Here is a 16,110-nt window from a genome sequence, read left to right as displayed (position 1 = left end):
ATCCCTTAGGATAGATACATTTCCAGGATTTCAACTGCTGCATCAGAATATAAAAGGTATAAAGCCATTTCATTGATTCTTTTGTTTTAGTCCCTGATGCCTCATCGAATCCGGAGTCAAGTTCAATCCTCCTTCTACTGTTCCAGACAGCTCCCCTTTCTCCCTCTCCCACCAGGACCCCTAATCTCCCCCATTTCCCCAATGCTCTTTCTCAGAGCCACGTTTCCTCTCACTACCAGCCAAACCCTACCCTTCTGGAAGTCCACCAGTAATTTTAACACGTCTCTTGTATTTGCACTAAAGCCACCATTGAGGATATTCAGAATTTTGCTGTGGACTCTGGTTAGAAAACTAACAAAGTAACAATAATATTTAGGAGAATTATGTAATAGAGGAAAAGTTACGGGGGATCAGAGAGATTTAAGTGTGTATTTTAGTCTTACCCCTTACTAGCTAAAATGTAAAGAAATTTTAAGCCTGTAGGCATGTGCTTTAAAAATCACCTTGGGCAAGTCATTTATACTCTGTGTGAGCCTCAGGTGCTCACTTAAAATGGGTAGAATAATCACCATCTCCTAGGATTAGTGTGAAGGGTGCATGAAAAAGCATGTGAAACACACAGGCTCATATCTGGTATGCAATACCGTTTATTTATTTGGGTTTGCTTTCCTTCCATTCAATTTTCCCTTGCTTGTATCATCTTAGAAATTATGGCTAAATATTAGAGCTCTTTGTATCCTCAATAAAAAAGACATGGACTTAGATAACACTTTACCACAAAATCAGCTGAGGTTTGTGTTGCTCCTCAAATCTAGCAAGCACATTAGTCAGAGACTGAATGCTAACCCTCTTTTCTCTGAGCCACAGTGGAAAAAAATGGAGGTTTTCCTGTAACACTCTGATAGTATTCTGTTTCCTACACTGATGTAATTCCGTTATTGCAGCGAAGGAAATGCACTATGATACCTGGATGAAGGGGGACTCCATGAAATATGAACTTGTTTGAAAAGGTGTGAGTGGCATGCATTAAGATGCCAGGTTTTTATTTTATTTCTCTTCAGCTTGTAAACACTTCAGTAACCTGCAAAGATGCTGGAGCTGGTGGGGAAGAGAGTCCAGCCAGGAGGTCCAAATGCCACTTCCACATCAGGATTACTAATAGGCATGGTCATCTTCTAACCGCTGAGCTTCTTTAATTTTGGGGAGACAACAAAAGTGAATCAAAAGAATAATGTAGTTCTAATGTCATCTCTGAGAAAAATGATGTCATCTCTGAGAAAAATGATGTCAGCCAAACCCTGTATCCTTAAGCCAGGCTGACCTGCCCAACACCATAAGGGCAGATGGCAAATAGGGCACACAGCAGTGCGTTAGCTCAGTGGGCTCAGTTTTGGATGCTAAATTCCAGTTTCACTCTCGTTGCTCTTGGCTTTTGCCAGGGATTTGGTCTCACAGTGTCAGCCCTACTTTTGCCACATGGATTTTGTGTTCGAACTTTGTTTTTCTAACTTTGATGCTCAGATGGCCTCAGAACTCAAGCTCTGGCCTCCTCCTTCCGGACTGCTTTAAGTAGACACAGACCTACTTTTTGTCCAAGGACAAAATACTTACCTGGGCTCTGATCATGCTACCTTAGTCACCTAAATATCATCAACGCTGATTCCTAACTACTCTGACTATTGTCACCAGAAAGTGCCCTGATAGTGTTGGGAAGTCTTGCTCCTTGTCTGGGGCCTGAGGCCCTCTTTTGAAGTTTGAAGGCTCATCTGTAGGTAGGTAGGCAGGGTCATCATTTGCTTAGCAGCCAAACCAAAATGTTGTATAATCCCTGTGGTAGGTAGAATGATGACCCCCCCAACAATCTCTATATCCTAATCCCCTGAACCTGTGATATATCATGTGACATGGCAAGGGGGAATGAAGGTCGCAGAAAGAATTAAGTGGCTAATCAACTGACCTTATGATTGGGAAATTATTTTGGATTACTGAAGCAAGTCTAATGTAATTGTTAGGGTCCTTTAAGGTGGGAGAGGGAAGCAGAAGAGGAGGTCAAAATGAGAGAGAGGTTTGAAGATGCTCCACCGCTGGCTTTGAAAATGGGGAAAGGGACCACAAAGAGCTGGAAAAAGCAGAGAAAGATTCTTTCCTAGAGCCTCCAGGAGGACACAGTCCTGCTGACGCCTTGATTTTAGCCCAGGATGATCAATGTCTGACTTCTGGCCTCTAGAATTGTGAGACAATGCACTTGTGTCCTTCAAAGCCTCTAAGTGGGTGCTAATGTTATAGCAGTAACCGGAAATTAATATACCCTCTTTCTATTCAATAATGAATTTTTATAAATGAAACAAAAAAAATCCATCCTTGAACGTGGAAAGGTTAAATTGTCACTTAAAAGGCCTGGATTACTGAATATAAATTGGTGTTTTTCTAGCCAAAATACTGATGTTTGGGAACAAGAGAGGAGCTGCTCCTTCTCTTACTGAGATAGATGGGGTCAGTAAGAGGAAGTCCCCTTTGATTTTAGACAGAGGCTCTAGGAAGGTCCAACATCTGTTCTGCCTTGATCTTTTCTCTGGTCATCTGATGGCAAGGAAAGGTGAACCCAGAGCCAGCAATTGGTCCGGAAGATAGTGTGCCCAGTGCCTGGGCAGCCTGGCCTGTCTGCCACCCCAGGGCTCTGTAGAGCCCAGAATAGCCCACCTGAAGCTGTCTCCAGATCCCTCTCAGAAGCCTGAGGGAGAGCAAATGACCACAGGCAGAGATGTTTGTTCTAATTCAGAGTGTCCATGTTTTTCCTGCCAATGAGTCACCGTGCTCTTGTAATTGACCCCTGCATGTCCTTGGGGGAGAAGTGGTAATGGTGGGAGAGGCCAGGGGAAGATCCAAAGGAGGAGCTGACTCAGGCTCCCCATCCTGGCATTCATCCTGCAACCTCTGCAGGTTGTGCAAAGCCCTGCCTTACATCTCTGCAGGCAAGATCAGGCTGCAAAATGAAGCAAGGCAGGTGTAGCAATGGGGAAAAGAAGGCAAGGGGAGGAGTAACTGTGTAGCTTGATTTCATACTCTTCTTCTAACCTGAAAAATGTTGCCAGCTAATATGGATAAGGTACTTTGCAATTTGTTATCCCATTTTATTCCCCACCCATTTTATAGTAGAGGAAAGTGAACTTTACAATGTATCTTAGTCCATTCAGGCTGCTATAACAAATATACCATAAACTGGAGGTCCTAAAGAAAAATATGTATTTATCACAGTTCTGGAGGCTGGGAAGTCCAAGATCAAGGTTCCAGCTGATTCGGTGCCTTCTTCCTGGTTTCCATATGGCCATCTTCTCACTGTGTCCTCACATGGGGAAAACAGATCAAGAGAGCTGTAAGGGCACGAATCCCATTCCATTCGTGAGGGCTCCAGGTTCATGATCTAATTACCTTTCAAAGAGAGTCATCTCTACCAACACATTAGGGGGTAGGATTTCAACATGTGAATGTTGGGGGTACAGATTCAGTTCGTAACACCATGTGACAGGCAATATTCTAAAATATGCACAGAAAGTCTAACTAATTTAGGTACTAGATTTTGGATGTGGTGGCAATTTGGATGGAGTCTGAAAAAAGTTCCCCTTCAAATAATATTGCTTTATGGAAAAGAGGCTTGTTCTATAAGCGAAGAGTGCATGAGGCTTTCCCCTAATGACTGATGATCTGGCCCAGGATTCTTGGTTGCTCCTGTCAAGTCAGGGGGGCTTAGGATGTAGCCCCTTCCGTTCCCACATAGCCATGCCCATCGCAGGCAAGGTCACTGGGGGGGCTCCTCTCAGAAAACTGCAGTGTGAGGAACAACCCTTCTTGCTGTGGGTGAGGAAAATCCAGGTCAATGCTTCTCAGTAGACTACTTTGAGAACTCTGTAAGGAACTTTAAAAATATCCTTCCTAGGCCCCACCCCAGACTAGTGAACTCAAGTCAGGGTTGTGAAACATTGACCTCTCTTAGGACAAAGGCCTGGAAAACATTTCTGTGTCACATGACAAAAATCCTTTTTATTAACCCTCAACCCATCTAGAGTGACAGACAAAACAAGCAAATGGACACACCAAGACACCAACTGGTTTCTAAAGGTTTCATCTGGTTACATCAAAGATGCAGTAGTTACAACTTTGTGCACATCCTTAGTCAAATTCTTAAATTGAAAATTTAGATATGAAAGTAATTGCTCAAAATATATGGGCATTTCTGAGACTTTTGAGACAAATTTCCTGAAAAAAAACACACGGTCTCTCCAGAAGTGTGAAGAGTGCCATTTCTCTGAGCCCTTGCTAATACTGTACATTTATACTTAAAAAGTTTTGCCAATTCGTAAATGAAAAATTGTTTTTCATGTATACAATAAATATTCATTGAGAAGTCACTTTGTGCCAAGCACTACATTGAGCAATGTGTTATTTTAATTTCAAAATGTTTAGTGGCTTGCTGAGATTGAACATCTTTTCATAAATGCAATATTATACATATATATTTTCTATTTGTAAAGCTCACTCTAGCTGTGACAAGATGATAAATGCACAGTGGGAGGGTACTGGGGGGCCAGAATGAAGATAGGGAGACACATCCAGAGGCCATTGCAGTGCTGCAGGTGGCATCCAAGGGTGGCTGGGCTGAGTGTGAGAAGTGGAGGTGGTAAGAAGGGGTCACACTTGCGACATGTATTGTGGGGCGAGAGCTGATAGTGTTTGTTGATGGACATGGGCTATGAGGGGAAGAAGAGAAACAAGGATGACTTGGAGGTTTTCAGGCTGAGCAACTGAGTGGGTGGTGGCCTCATTTCCTTAGGTGGGGAAGACAGGATGGAATAGGTTAGAGTGGGGAAGGGTGGATCAAGATTTCTTTTAAGTGCGAGATGTCTATTAGACAAGTGGAGATGCTGAGTCAACAGTTGGATTTACAAGCCTGGAAATCAGGAGGGATTAGGTTGGAGATATAGATTTCAGAGCCAGAGTGCAGATAGTTTCTAAGGCAGTGAGAATGGGTGAGATTTCTTAGAGAGAGAGAGAGGAGATAGATAAATGAAGACCAAGAACGTGGCATGTAATAATTTAAAGTTCTGGGAGAGGAGCAGAGTCTAGCGAAGGAGAGAAAATGAACAACTGGTGAGACAAAATATCTAGTGAGTTTGCTATCAAAGAAACCTAAGGAAGAAATATTCTAAAAATGTCACCAGGGTGGGGTGGCTTACACCTGTAGTCCCAGCACTTTGGGAGGTGCTAGGTGGGTGGATCACTTGAGGTCAGGAGTTTGAGACCAGCCTGGCCAACGTAGTGAAACCCCATCTCTACTAAAAATACAAAAATTAACCAGGTGTGGTGGTGTGTGCTTGTAATCCCAGCTACTTGGGAGGCTGAGGTGGGAGAATCGCTTGAACCTGGGAGGCAGAGGTTGCAGTGAGCCAAGATCGTGCCGCTGCACTCCAGCCTGGGCAGCAGAGTGAGACTCTGTCTCAAACATCTCAGAAAAAAAAAAGTGTCAACTGCAATCAGTGAGATGGGGACAAGAAATTGATATTAGCTTTGACCATATGTTTGATAAGAGCTGCTTTCTTGGTGCAGTGGGGACAGAATCATGATTACAGTGGTTAAAGAGGAAGAGGAGATGGTGACAAATCTCTTGAGGAATTTGTGTTGAAGGGAACAGATAAATGGAATAAAATATATATCTGTTCTTGGAATTTAGGAAAGATTTAAAAACAATATGTTTGTAGGCTCATGGGAATGTTCTTCTCTGTGGGAGAAATGGATGATGCCAGAAGGAGAGGGAATAATGGCAGAAGATTTTACTTAACAATGAGAAGTCAAGAGAGAATGAGGTGCAGACTGCAAGGGGAAGGATTATCTTTGGTTTGTTCAGGGATATTTGTTAGGCCGTGAAAATGGAATATAGAGTACAAATGCAGACCAGTTCATCGATTTAGTGGGAGTGAGATGTGAGCATCCACCTTGCACTCACATATGTTGACTGCTTTGTCTTCAACAACCTAGGTACCTCAAGACATGGAGATCAACTTGCTCCTCAATGCCACTTCCAAGCTATTTCACCTTCAAAAACCTCAGACTAAAAAATCAAACCTTTTCTCTTATCCACTGCAGCCATCTACTCAACACCTTCCAATGCCCCACACCCCCCGTCTTGAATTGGTGCATTTAGTACTTGGATCACTGGCTTTCTCTACATGGTTGTTCATGTAGAACTTTGGGCAACTCACTGTGCCCTCAAGTTATGAGTCCAATAACCTGTTGCTCCAGATGCTTGATTTCCTCAACTCCAGTGCCCTTCAGGTGAGGTCCACCTCACTTTGCTGATAGTGGCAGAGGCAGTCAAATGCCTAGGCCGATGGGGCGGGTCCCCAATGAAACCCCCCTTCAAACCAAAGACAGTTCAAAGCCTGAAATCCAAGCTACAAGTCTTGGATAAATCCATGGACCAAATTGAGAACCTCTCTTTTCGTTTGGCATGCTTTCCTCTGATTAATCCCCACCTTCCACCTATTTTACATATACCTACTCTTCCCTAAGTGGTTTCTTGCACTGTGTTTCTTACCTACCTTTGAGTGGTGCCTTTGTTTTAGCCTTTCTTGCATACTCATAAACCAATCAGCATGCACTCCCCGATTCTGAGCCCAGAAAAGTCCTGGACTCAGCCACACTTGGTGGGGACTGCCTGCCTTCAGGTCAGGGGAGCTACCCAACTTCAGGTAGGGGGCTGCCTTCTCTGGGTCCGCTCTCTGCTGAGAGCTGTCACTCAGTAAAACTCTCTGCTGTGCTCACCCTTTGGCTGTAGCATAACCTCATTCTTCTTGGACATGGAACAAGAACTTGAGACCCACCGAATGTGGGCATGAAAAAGGCTATAGCATCCCCTTTGGGGCTTCAGGGTCACTGGCATCCCTTTTCAAGTGCCACCACATTCCCCTTGTTGGGATGCCAACGCACAGGGCGGAGGCAGGTCAAGGCACCCCCAGCCTGGCCCAGCTGTGGGCTGAGTGTGGATCCTGTGGTGAACACGGGGTCCAGTTAGAGTACAAGCCAGGTGTGGCCTGGCTCATCGAATGGCCAGGGTGCCTCCTGTTGTGAGCCCAGGGCTGAGTGAGGCTCAGGTATGTGTTTTGCCAGCTGTGGATATATCCAGCTGGCCAAGCAGCACTGAAAAAATCCTGCGTCACTGCCACTTGCTTGCAGGGTCATAATGGAAATCAGAGAGTGCATCTTTTAAGGGAGCTCAGGTAAAGCATGTCCTCCAGTGCCAGCCAAGTTTCAGTCAGAAGAAAAAAGGGAAAACAGGCTGGGAGTAGTGGCGCATGCCTGTAATCCCAGCACTTTGGGATCTTGAGATGGGCAGATCACCTGAGGTCAGGAGTTTGAGACCAGCCTGGCCAACATGGTGGAACCCTGTCTCTACTAAAAATGCAAAAACTAGCTGGACGTGGTGGCACACGCCTGTAATCCCAGTACTTTGGGAGGCCAAGGCAGGTGTATCACCTGAGCTCAGGAGTTTGAGACCAGCCTGGCCAACATGGTGAAACCCCATCTCTACTAAAAATACAAAAATTTGCCAGGAATGGTGGTTCACACCTGTAATCCCAGCTACTTGGGAGGCTAGGCAGGAGAATTGCTTGGATATGGGAGGCAGAGGTTGCAGTCAGCCAAGATCACACCACTGCACTCCAGCCTGGGCAACCAGAAGGAGACCTCTCAAAAAAAAATAACTTTTATGGTATGGGTGGAGATTAAAAGTGATTTTGCTGATGAGAGGTGGTTAATTTGGGAGGATGAAGAGAGTAGGAGATTAGGTCCTATTGGGGCACTACAGATCAGATCAGTGTGGGGTAAGCACGTCTCTGATTATGCTGAGGACTGAAGCAAATGGGATGTGTGGTATAATGGAATTGGTCCTTCCTTTGAAGAAGGAGGGCCATCAGAGGAAAGCTGTAGATTATTTAGCAGTTGAGCATGTAAGGTGTGGGCCCTTCTCAGTAGCAGTTGGAGAGGCAACTCCCAGAGCCCTGGTAACCTCGGGGAAGGACCATGGTGGCTGATCTTTCTTTCAGATGCCCTCAAGCAAAGTTCTTGGGGCTGGTTCCAGGTGTCCTCTTGTGGCAGCTAAGCATCTGGTCCAGGTGGCTGATGTCTCCCTTTAGGGTAGGGAATGACTCCTTAGAGCAGATGGAAGGTTTCTCCAGCAGCTTTGTGTGTGACTCTCACATATATTTTATTTTTTCCTGCTTATTTGTTTTCTGATTTGTGTGTAATTGAACCTTAGGAATTAAGCATTTTTCTATTCATATATTATTCACAATTATATTTTTATGTTGTATAATATTGCATGGTATAAAGCATAAAATGTGCTATTTTATTTCCTTATTGTTGGATGTGTATGCTATTTCCAAATCTTTGCAAATATATGTTACAATGAACATTTCTACATATATATGTATATTTTATTTGCTAAGTTATTACTTAGGATAAATTTCCAGAATCAGGATTATTGGATTGAAATATGGGAAAGGGGCCAGACGTGGTGGCTCATACCTGTGATCCCGCACTTTGGGAGGCCGAGGCAAGTGGATCACCTGATGTCAGGAGTTAAAGACCAGCCTGGCCAACATGGTGACACCTCGTCTCTACTAAAAATAGAAAAATTAGCCAGGTGTGGTCGTAGGCACCTGTAATCCCAGCTACTTGAGAGGCTGAGGCACGAGAATCACTTCAACTTGAGAGATGGAGGTTGCAGTGAGCCAACATCATGCCACTGCACTCCAGCCTGGGCCATAGAGCAAGACTCAGTCTCAAGAAAAAAAAAAAAAAAGAAATACAGCTATTTCCATGACCCATCAGTTTTAATCCTTAATACATCATCTAATGCAGGAGGAAGTTTAGTTCTCCTTTCATGGCTCCAGGCTGCTCCTCTTTCCTTTATCCATCTCCCAATATAGTTCCTCAATTTCCTCTGACCCCCAAACACTTCTCTTTAGCACCGTATTTCCTCTTACCAACAGCTGTCACTCTTACCCTCCAGAATTCCATCAGTAAATTTAACAGGTCTCTTGGATTTTTGTTGAAGCTGTCATGAACATAGTCAGAAGAATTTGTTCTTGAATCTGATTAAAACAATGTAATAGTATTTGGAGGTATCATGTTATAGAGGGAAAGATTTGAGAGCTGGGGAAACCTAAAATTGAATTTTAGCCTTAGCATTTCATAGCTAAAAATGCTATACAATATATGCAAATGTAGATGTGATATGAAAATTACCTTGAGCAAGCCTTTTATACTCTCTGAGCTTAATGTGTTGAGCTATAAAATTACTCTAATGAGAACGCTTTCATAGAATTGATGTGTGAGATAAAGGCAAATGTGAAAATACCTTCTGGCACATGTCTGGTGTGTGAAAATTATTATTGCTGTTTCTCACTTTTTTTCTGTATTCACTGGCTTTTGATCATTTTTGGATCAAATGTCTCAGTGTAGCTGTTGGTGGTATCATTGCCTGTCAATCAAAACTGCGAAGGAATACATCTGCAGTGGAACAAATTTGCCTGTGTTACTTGCTGCAACAAAGGAGACCACACACCATGAGGAAATCAGGAAGCATTTCAGGATTTAAGCCTGTTAGGTGATTTTGGGGGGTGTTTGAAGAAGCAGGGTACTCTCCTAGGTTGGATACTCTCAGGAAGTAAAATTAAATCTATGCATGGACAACTTAATATTTTACCTGGAAGTGGGAGAAATGGAATGGAACTGAAGATGTAATTGGCAAAAAGGCAATGGCCACTCATGTGAGCTGAAAGAGGAAGAAATTGGATTGTTTTTATAGTAATTCCAGTATTCTTATGTTTGTACTAAGATATAATTTCCAAGGGATTTGACTTTTTTCCTACTCTATCATGGTCCCACATTGAATTCATCTGATGTCGGTGTTCTGTGAAATTGTTTATCTCCAGTAGAACATCATGGTCTCGCTGTTAGTGCAAGCTGATGGCTTTTGGATATGTTTTTCTTGTAATTCTCACTTTTGGCCAACAGCAGATGAAGTTAGACCACAGGTAATTAATCCATGATATTGAGGTTTTTTCACCATTACTGAGATTCTGCCTGTTGGGAGGCTGTCTAGAGAACATTCTTTGTATTTGGACAAATTAGTACCTCTTATTCCTTTTGTTATCAGATGAGTTGTTGAGTGATCTGACATGACAATGGTTATGCATTTTAGACTCAGTACAAGATGCATCAGTCAAGTGGTTTCTAGGCAATTATGAAAGACAAAATGACTATTCATTAGTTTTCCAAGGCCAGGGGACCAGGCGACTAACCCCAGGCCATGAAAACATGAGTCAAAGTCTGAGTGGGTCTACTCTAGGGATCTAGATCATGCCCCTTTCTTTCAGTCTAATCACAGACTATTCCATCTCTCCAATTGTACATATGTTGATGACACAAGGAGTGTTGACTGTAGCATGAATTCTCCATTAACTAGTCAATTTAACTAGTTTATTTGGGGCCTTCTCTGTAGAGGTAGTTGTACTTAAGAGTAATACTGTATGGGGCACAGACCTTATAGAATGATAGTCACTTTTAGAAAAAAAAAAAAAAAAGAAGAAGAACCCAACCCTCTACTTCTAATTTTACTAATTTATATATTATTTATGTAACAATTTGCAGGGAAAGATAAATAAATCTTCATGGCTGTATTTAGGTATATGCATGTAAATAAACATAAAAATAAATGATAAATGTAAATATTTTAACTATAACTTTAAAATATAATTGATCTGTTGATATATGTTAAAATAATATATATTATACTATATCATCTTAATACATTGTAATGATTTTAACAATCAAATCACATCAATTATCTTATATACCTAGTCCTTTTTTCTGTAATTATTGCACTAGTCTACTCAACCATTTATATTATTATGTGTAGCTAAAGTAACCTGCTTTTTTCCCCAAACACAAAAGAAAACTAGAAAACTGTTGAATTGTTTTAAAATTTTAGCTAATTTCAACAAATTTAAGATAGCAAAACAAATGTATGTAATCATAAAAGTCATTTGCATACGCTGTTAATTTGTAGCCATCTCAAGAAATAAGGGTAAATTAAAATTATATTAAGTCTTATAAGTCTTTTGAATCCTGTTCTTAGGAATTGTCTAGGTATCAAAAATTATTTATTGATTCAATTTAATATTGGTCTTAGGTCTTAAAGTTGCTAAAGTTTATGATTTTAATTAATGTATTAGTTCTTTCTGTTTTGTTTGTAATATTAAAAGAAGTTTTATAAGATTAAATACTTTAAAATAGCATCTGTTTTTACAATTCTATTTAATTACCATACAATGACTCTCTTGATGAGAGGTTCCCATTACTAGCTCCTTTTCACAGATACGTAAACTATCTACTAAGTATTTATAAACTATTTAGTACTGTTAGAAATCATTCTGAAGGCTTCACAACTTAATCAATTTCATTTTGATAATGTGTTTTATACATTGTGGCTATTTGGTCTGGATCTGTACAAAGATTCCCTTTTGTAATTTCGTTTTATGGATAAGTTTTGTTACATATGCTGAGTGTAAGTGAGCTGCTTTGAGGAATATTAGAAAGGAATGTTTTGAAGAAAAGAATTCATGTAAGTGTTTTTTAAAGCCAATCAATATTTATATAGGTATGAAACAGTTTTTACATTTGCCTTTTAACTATAATATAGCATTTGGGCAAACAAAGACAACATTTAAAGTGAAAAATATTTTTTTTCTATTGCTGATACTCATACTACTCACGTTATTGTTAAGGTTATAATGTACACATAATTAAAATTAAAATACAGTTTTTATACTCTCTAAAGGGCAAAATAAAAAGTAATTATATATAATCATTTTGTAAATGATATCATTTATAAATCTCTGAATATTATAGCTTCATCTAGCAAAAATATAATCTCTTAAGCAGCAGCAGCTGCATAAACTAATAAGGAAAGAGGCAAAATTAATTTTTTTTCTAAGCAAGACAAAGGAAAGCTCCAAGTTTCCTGGTATAGTTTTGGGAAGTGCAATCGTTGATTTGTTTGAAGACTGAATTAATTTTGCAGGCACACATTTCTATTTTCAGGCTGTGAAGTCTGGGTGAGATCTTGACAGTGGTGGCAGTGGTGGGATCCATGCATGGCGTCTGGAAGAAGGAGAGAAAGGAAGAGAAAGAGGCAAGGAGGGAGGAGGAAAATGAGGCCTTGAAATATCATACACAGTTCCTTGGATGGAAGGAGGAGCGGGGTGAGCATAACCTGGCAGCTTAGGTGGGAGAGAGGAAGAAATTGGATGGTTTTTATAGTATTTCCAGTATTCTCGTGTTTGTACTCAGACATAACTTCCGAGGGGGAGCTCTGTCTTCAGATTAGGGAGGCCCCCTTGCTGTGAGGGACCAGCTGTGTACCAGTGCTCTGTTTGGAAGAGCTATTTCCTGTGGGATGACTCATAGTTCCTCTTCCAGAAACTGGACCTTTCCCCTGACTTCAGCTGTCTCCTCTTGTTCTGGGCCTGGACTTCTCTTCCTACAGGTCCTCCTAAGGAACTAAGTTGACCCTCTTCAGCTCTCAGGGTTTTCTGGCAGGTTGCAAGTTCCTGCTGACATTCTAAAGGCCAATGCTCTTTAAGGAAGATTCTAGCTCCACAGCCTCCCTTTTGTCAGAGCTGAGATTATCAGTGGTTTTGCATTTCTCCTGAATCAGTGGGACGTGTTTTTCTTTTAGCTGTGTCTCTCTTTTAACATAAGGTTGGATTTCAGCAGATTAATATATCTTAAAAAAAAAAAGCTATGAAAAGTCTACATATGGCTGCACATGTCCCAGACTCTCACAAGAGGGGGAGGAAGTCGAGGTCAGGCTCAGGTTGAGTTGGGTCATGGCAACCTCCCTACTCACTTTCCTAAGGACATTCTCCAAGGGGCGCTGCACAGAGGGCACCCTGAGCACCATCCTGTAGCCATGGCTCCACAAGGCCACACTCCACACACACCACAGAGCCACCCCAAGGGTTCATCCTGGAGCCCACATCAGCGACTGGGAAACAGCACAGAGCCCTGGGACCTTGGGAGATGGCCGGACAGATTCAGCGAAGAATACCTTTGCCCTGGGACTGCCCAGCACATCCAGCTCCCTCCTTCCTTTCTCTCATAGTTGCATACATGGGGACATAAGGAAACGCTGAAAGACTAGTACAGTGGACGTCCCTATATGTACCTGCTAGATAGAACAGTTGACATTTTCCTATATTTACTTCTATCTCTGTCTCTTTTTTTCCTGAAACATTTCAAAGCAATAGATGACTTGACATTTCAGCGTGCATTTGAAAATCGTATGCACATTGTACTGCATTTCCATATGTCACTGTGGTCCTTTGTTAAGCTCATTTTCCGGATGAGGAAAGGAACTGAAGCACAGAGAAAGAAGTTACACATGAAATTGCAGACCTAAAATTTATATCCAGCTCTCCCTAGCTCTGAATGTTGCAAGAAAATTTTACAGTGATCTTTCTGACTGCGTGGAGGAGAAGGCCTCAGATCAGTGCCTATCCTTTCTCACATCTCCCTGGCATTCTCTTATCTCCTTTTTCAGCAAAGAGAGGGTGTTTCTCAGGTGTAGAATGATTGCAGGCACAAGGTCTCTCTCAAACTTAATAATGTATTTTAAAATTTATATTTAATTTTATACTTATCTGTCATTTATGGCTATATTTTTGCATATGCCCATATTTTATATTTTAAAAATGCAAAGCAGTGGATATAAAGAAACTTTTAATACACATTTACTTAAATAAAAGTGTTATAATATTGGTAGTACATGGCAAAAATTATAGCAAAAATTGTCCCTTTGATAGGTGAATTACTGAAGCCTTAGCAATAATGTTGCAAACTCTGTGAAAGGGCTGCTGTGGGTATAAACCACCCTTCCTCCAGCTGAGTCTGAACTTTAGGGGGCATTTCTGATTCCTAGTCCTGTCCCCGCTTGTCTTGGCTGTCTGGAGGAAGAGGAGAACCAGTCATTGGTGTGGCCTAAGTCGAACGAGGAACTGTGGTGAGTCTTCTCCCTGACCCCCTTTTCCCACCCATCCCGACATATTTCTTCTGTTTTGCATTCCCAGTGCCAGGGACTGTTTGTGTGTCAAATATGCCATGAAATGTGCATCTTTCCCATGAGCAAATGAAGAGGTGGGGGTGCTTACTCATCCCTAAGCCCTGGTTGCTTTCTCAGACACATTCTAAATAGCAAAGCAGTCTCCTCCAGGGGACCTTTCAGGGATGGGCTTCAGGGCCATCCTGGGCCGTGACCCTCTGTGCAGCTATCCTTGGAAGTAGTCCTTGGGAAGGTGAGCAGGGAGGGACTGTGACATCTAAAGTCCAAGCTCTGACTACTTCTGTCCCTGGGAATCAGTGACATGTGAAGCTATGGCTAGATTTTTCATAGATCTCTTATTTGTATTCAAAAAGCATTCAGAAGTTTTTATTTAGCTAAAAGTTGGCTTTATGTTAAGCGGGAGGCAGTTGGCACAGAACTAGTCTGTTGATTAAGGAAAAATGTAAATCCACTGACAACCTCAGGTCTGATAAAAGGGAATATGAGACGCCGGAGTCTCCTCTAGGGGGCGCTAACCTCCAGAATCAGCTGTTGGAAGTCATGTGCAGGAAAGCCACCCTGAGTTGAAGAGGACTCACTGAGTGGTGCGCTGCCTGCCCCCGGCCATCTCTCCAAGGCAAAATGAACAGACACGGTACTTATAGTCCTGCGCACTGGGAGGATTTCCTTTCACTACTGCCTTTCAGAGCTGTCTCAAAGTGGGGTGGAAGTGCTGCCGCCCACTCCTAGGTGGTGTCTAGATATCAGGCAGAACTGCCAGTCCGACAAGCCTGTTTCTTCCCCATCAGTCAAGTGATCATAGAGGACTCCCCATGAGGCCATACACATGGGTTGAGAGAGAGAAAATGCAGTGTAGAAAGGGGAGGGGGCCGGGGCTTCTGAGGGCCAGTGGAGCCGGGGCGAGGGCATAGGCACCTGCTGGAGCTCGGTCCATATATACCACTTCCGCTTAATGATGGAGCACTGCTTCGTATTCTCAACTTTATGGCTTGGTGGGTTAGAAAGCACCCAACACATGACATGCAGCTCAAGGCACATGGTGATGGGTGGCCCATGAGTAACTTTGTCTCTACTAAGGCCCGGCAGAAATCTAAAAGCTGTTTCTCTAAAGGAGAGTAGTTATCAGCAGAGAACCACAGATTTTCCCCCAAATCCTTTGAGTCTTCACTATGATTTACCCTAGAGAGATCTGCCAAACACTCCACGCAGAATCCCTATTTGCCACTGACCCTTCAAGTAGCGTCAGTTCTTATGGGTTCTATGTCCCAAATGAGAAGCCTGCACATCAGCCTGGACCTATTGCAGAACTCTCTCTCTTGTGGATCCCACTCAGCACTGGAAGCTTTGTGGCTCACTAGGTAGATGGGTGGAATAACATGCCTGAATGAGGAATATATTGCTTCCCAAACCCAGAGAGGTTCACCAGGGGTTGTGCCTCTTTCTTAGTGGTAGGAGGGGCCAGATACAGCAACATGCCCTTCAACATGGAAGGAATATGTTGATATGCCTTAGACCATTGAATCCTTCAATTTTTAAGATAGAAAGCTTCTGATTTTTTTTGTAGCATAATTGTATGATTTTTTTTGTATGCTATTTGTGGATTTTTTGGTGATATCTTACCAATGCAGCTAGAAGTCATTTCTTCCTCTTCATCAGATCCAGTCAACATAACATCATCAATGCAATTGACCAGAACAATGTTCTGCAGCATGAAAAATATGATCCACATCCTATACACTAGGGCTGGAGAGTTGATATACCCCGGCAATAGGACAGCCAAGGAAAATTGCTGGCCTTCTCAGCTGAAAGCAAATTACTTTTGGTGATGTCTACTAACAGCAGAGAACAGAGAGTATTCGCCAGACCAATAGCAGCATGTCAGGTGCTAAGGGATGTATTGATTTACTCCAGCAATTGAAACTATGTTTGGA

General features: G+C 42.2%; 1 long non-coding RNA gene across 2 annotated transcripts in view, besides 1 other annotated feature; it reads left to right on the top strand.

Annotated features, from left to right (window-relative positions):
* Positions 1 to 14,796, top strand: part of LOC101928421 (uncharacterized) — a 37,633-nt gene extending 22,837 nt beyond the window's left edge. The window contains exons 4-5 of one of the 2 annotated variants that reach the window (XR_007060285.1): positions 12,160 to 12,320; positions 14,039 to 14,796. This is a non-coding gene — a long non-coding RNA (uncharacterized LOC101928421). Of the gene's footprint in view, positions 1 to 12,159 lie in introns of both variants that reach the window. The other variant, XR_007060284.1, reaches the window with a different exon arrangement.
* Positions 6,708 to 7,208: an enhancer, noted in NCBI's record as "H3K27ac hESC enhancer chr7:35641191-35641691 (GRCh37/hg19 assembly coordinates)". NCBI's record gives its function as "activates a minimal SCP1, AML or CMV promoter by ChIP-STARR-seq in naive H9 embryonic stem cells {active_cell/tissue: H9 hESC(naive)}" and the evidence as "EXISTENCE:reporter gene assay evidence [ECO:0000049][PMID:30033119]".
* Positions 14,797 to 16,110: the final 1,314 nt, after the last annotated feature.

The sequence above is a fragment of the Homo sapiens genome, chromosome 7 (genome assembly GCF_000001405.40).
Source record: "Homo sapiens chromosome 7, GRCh38.p14 Primary Assembly".
Taxonomy (NCBI): domain Eukaryota; kingdom Metazoa; phylum Chordata; class Mammalia; order Primates; family Hominidae; genus Homo; species Homo sapiens.
Note: the sequence above shows the minus strand (reverse complement) of the source record. Positions and strands in the feature narration are given on the sequence as shown.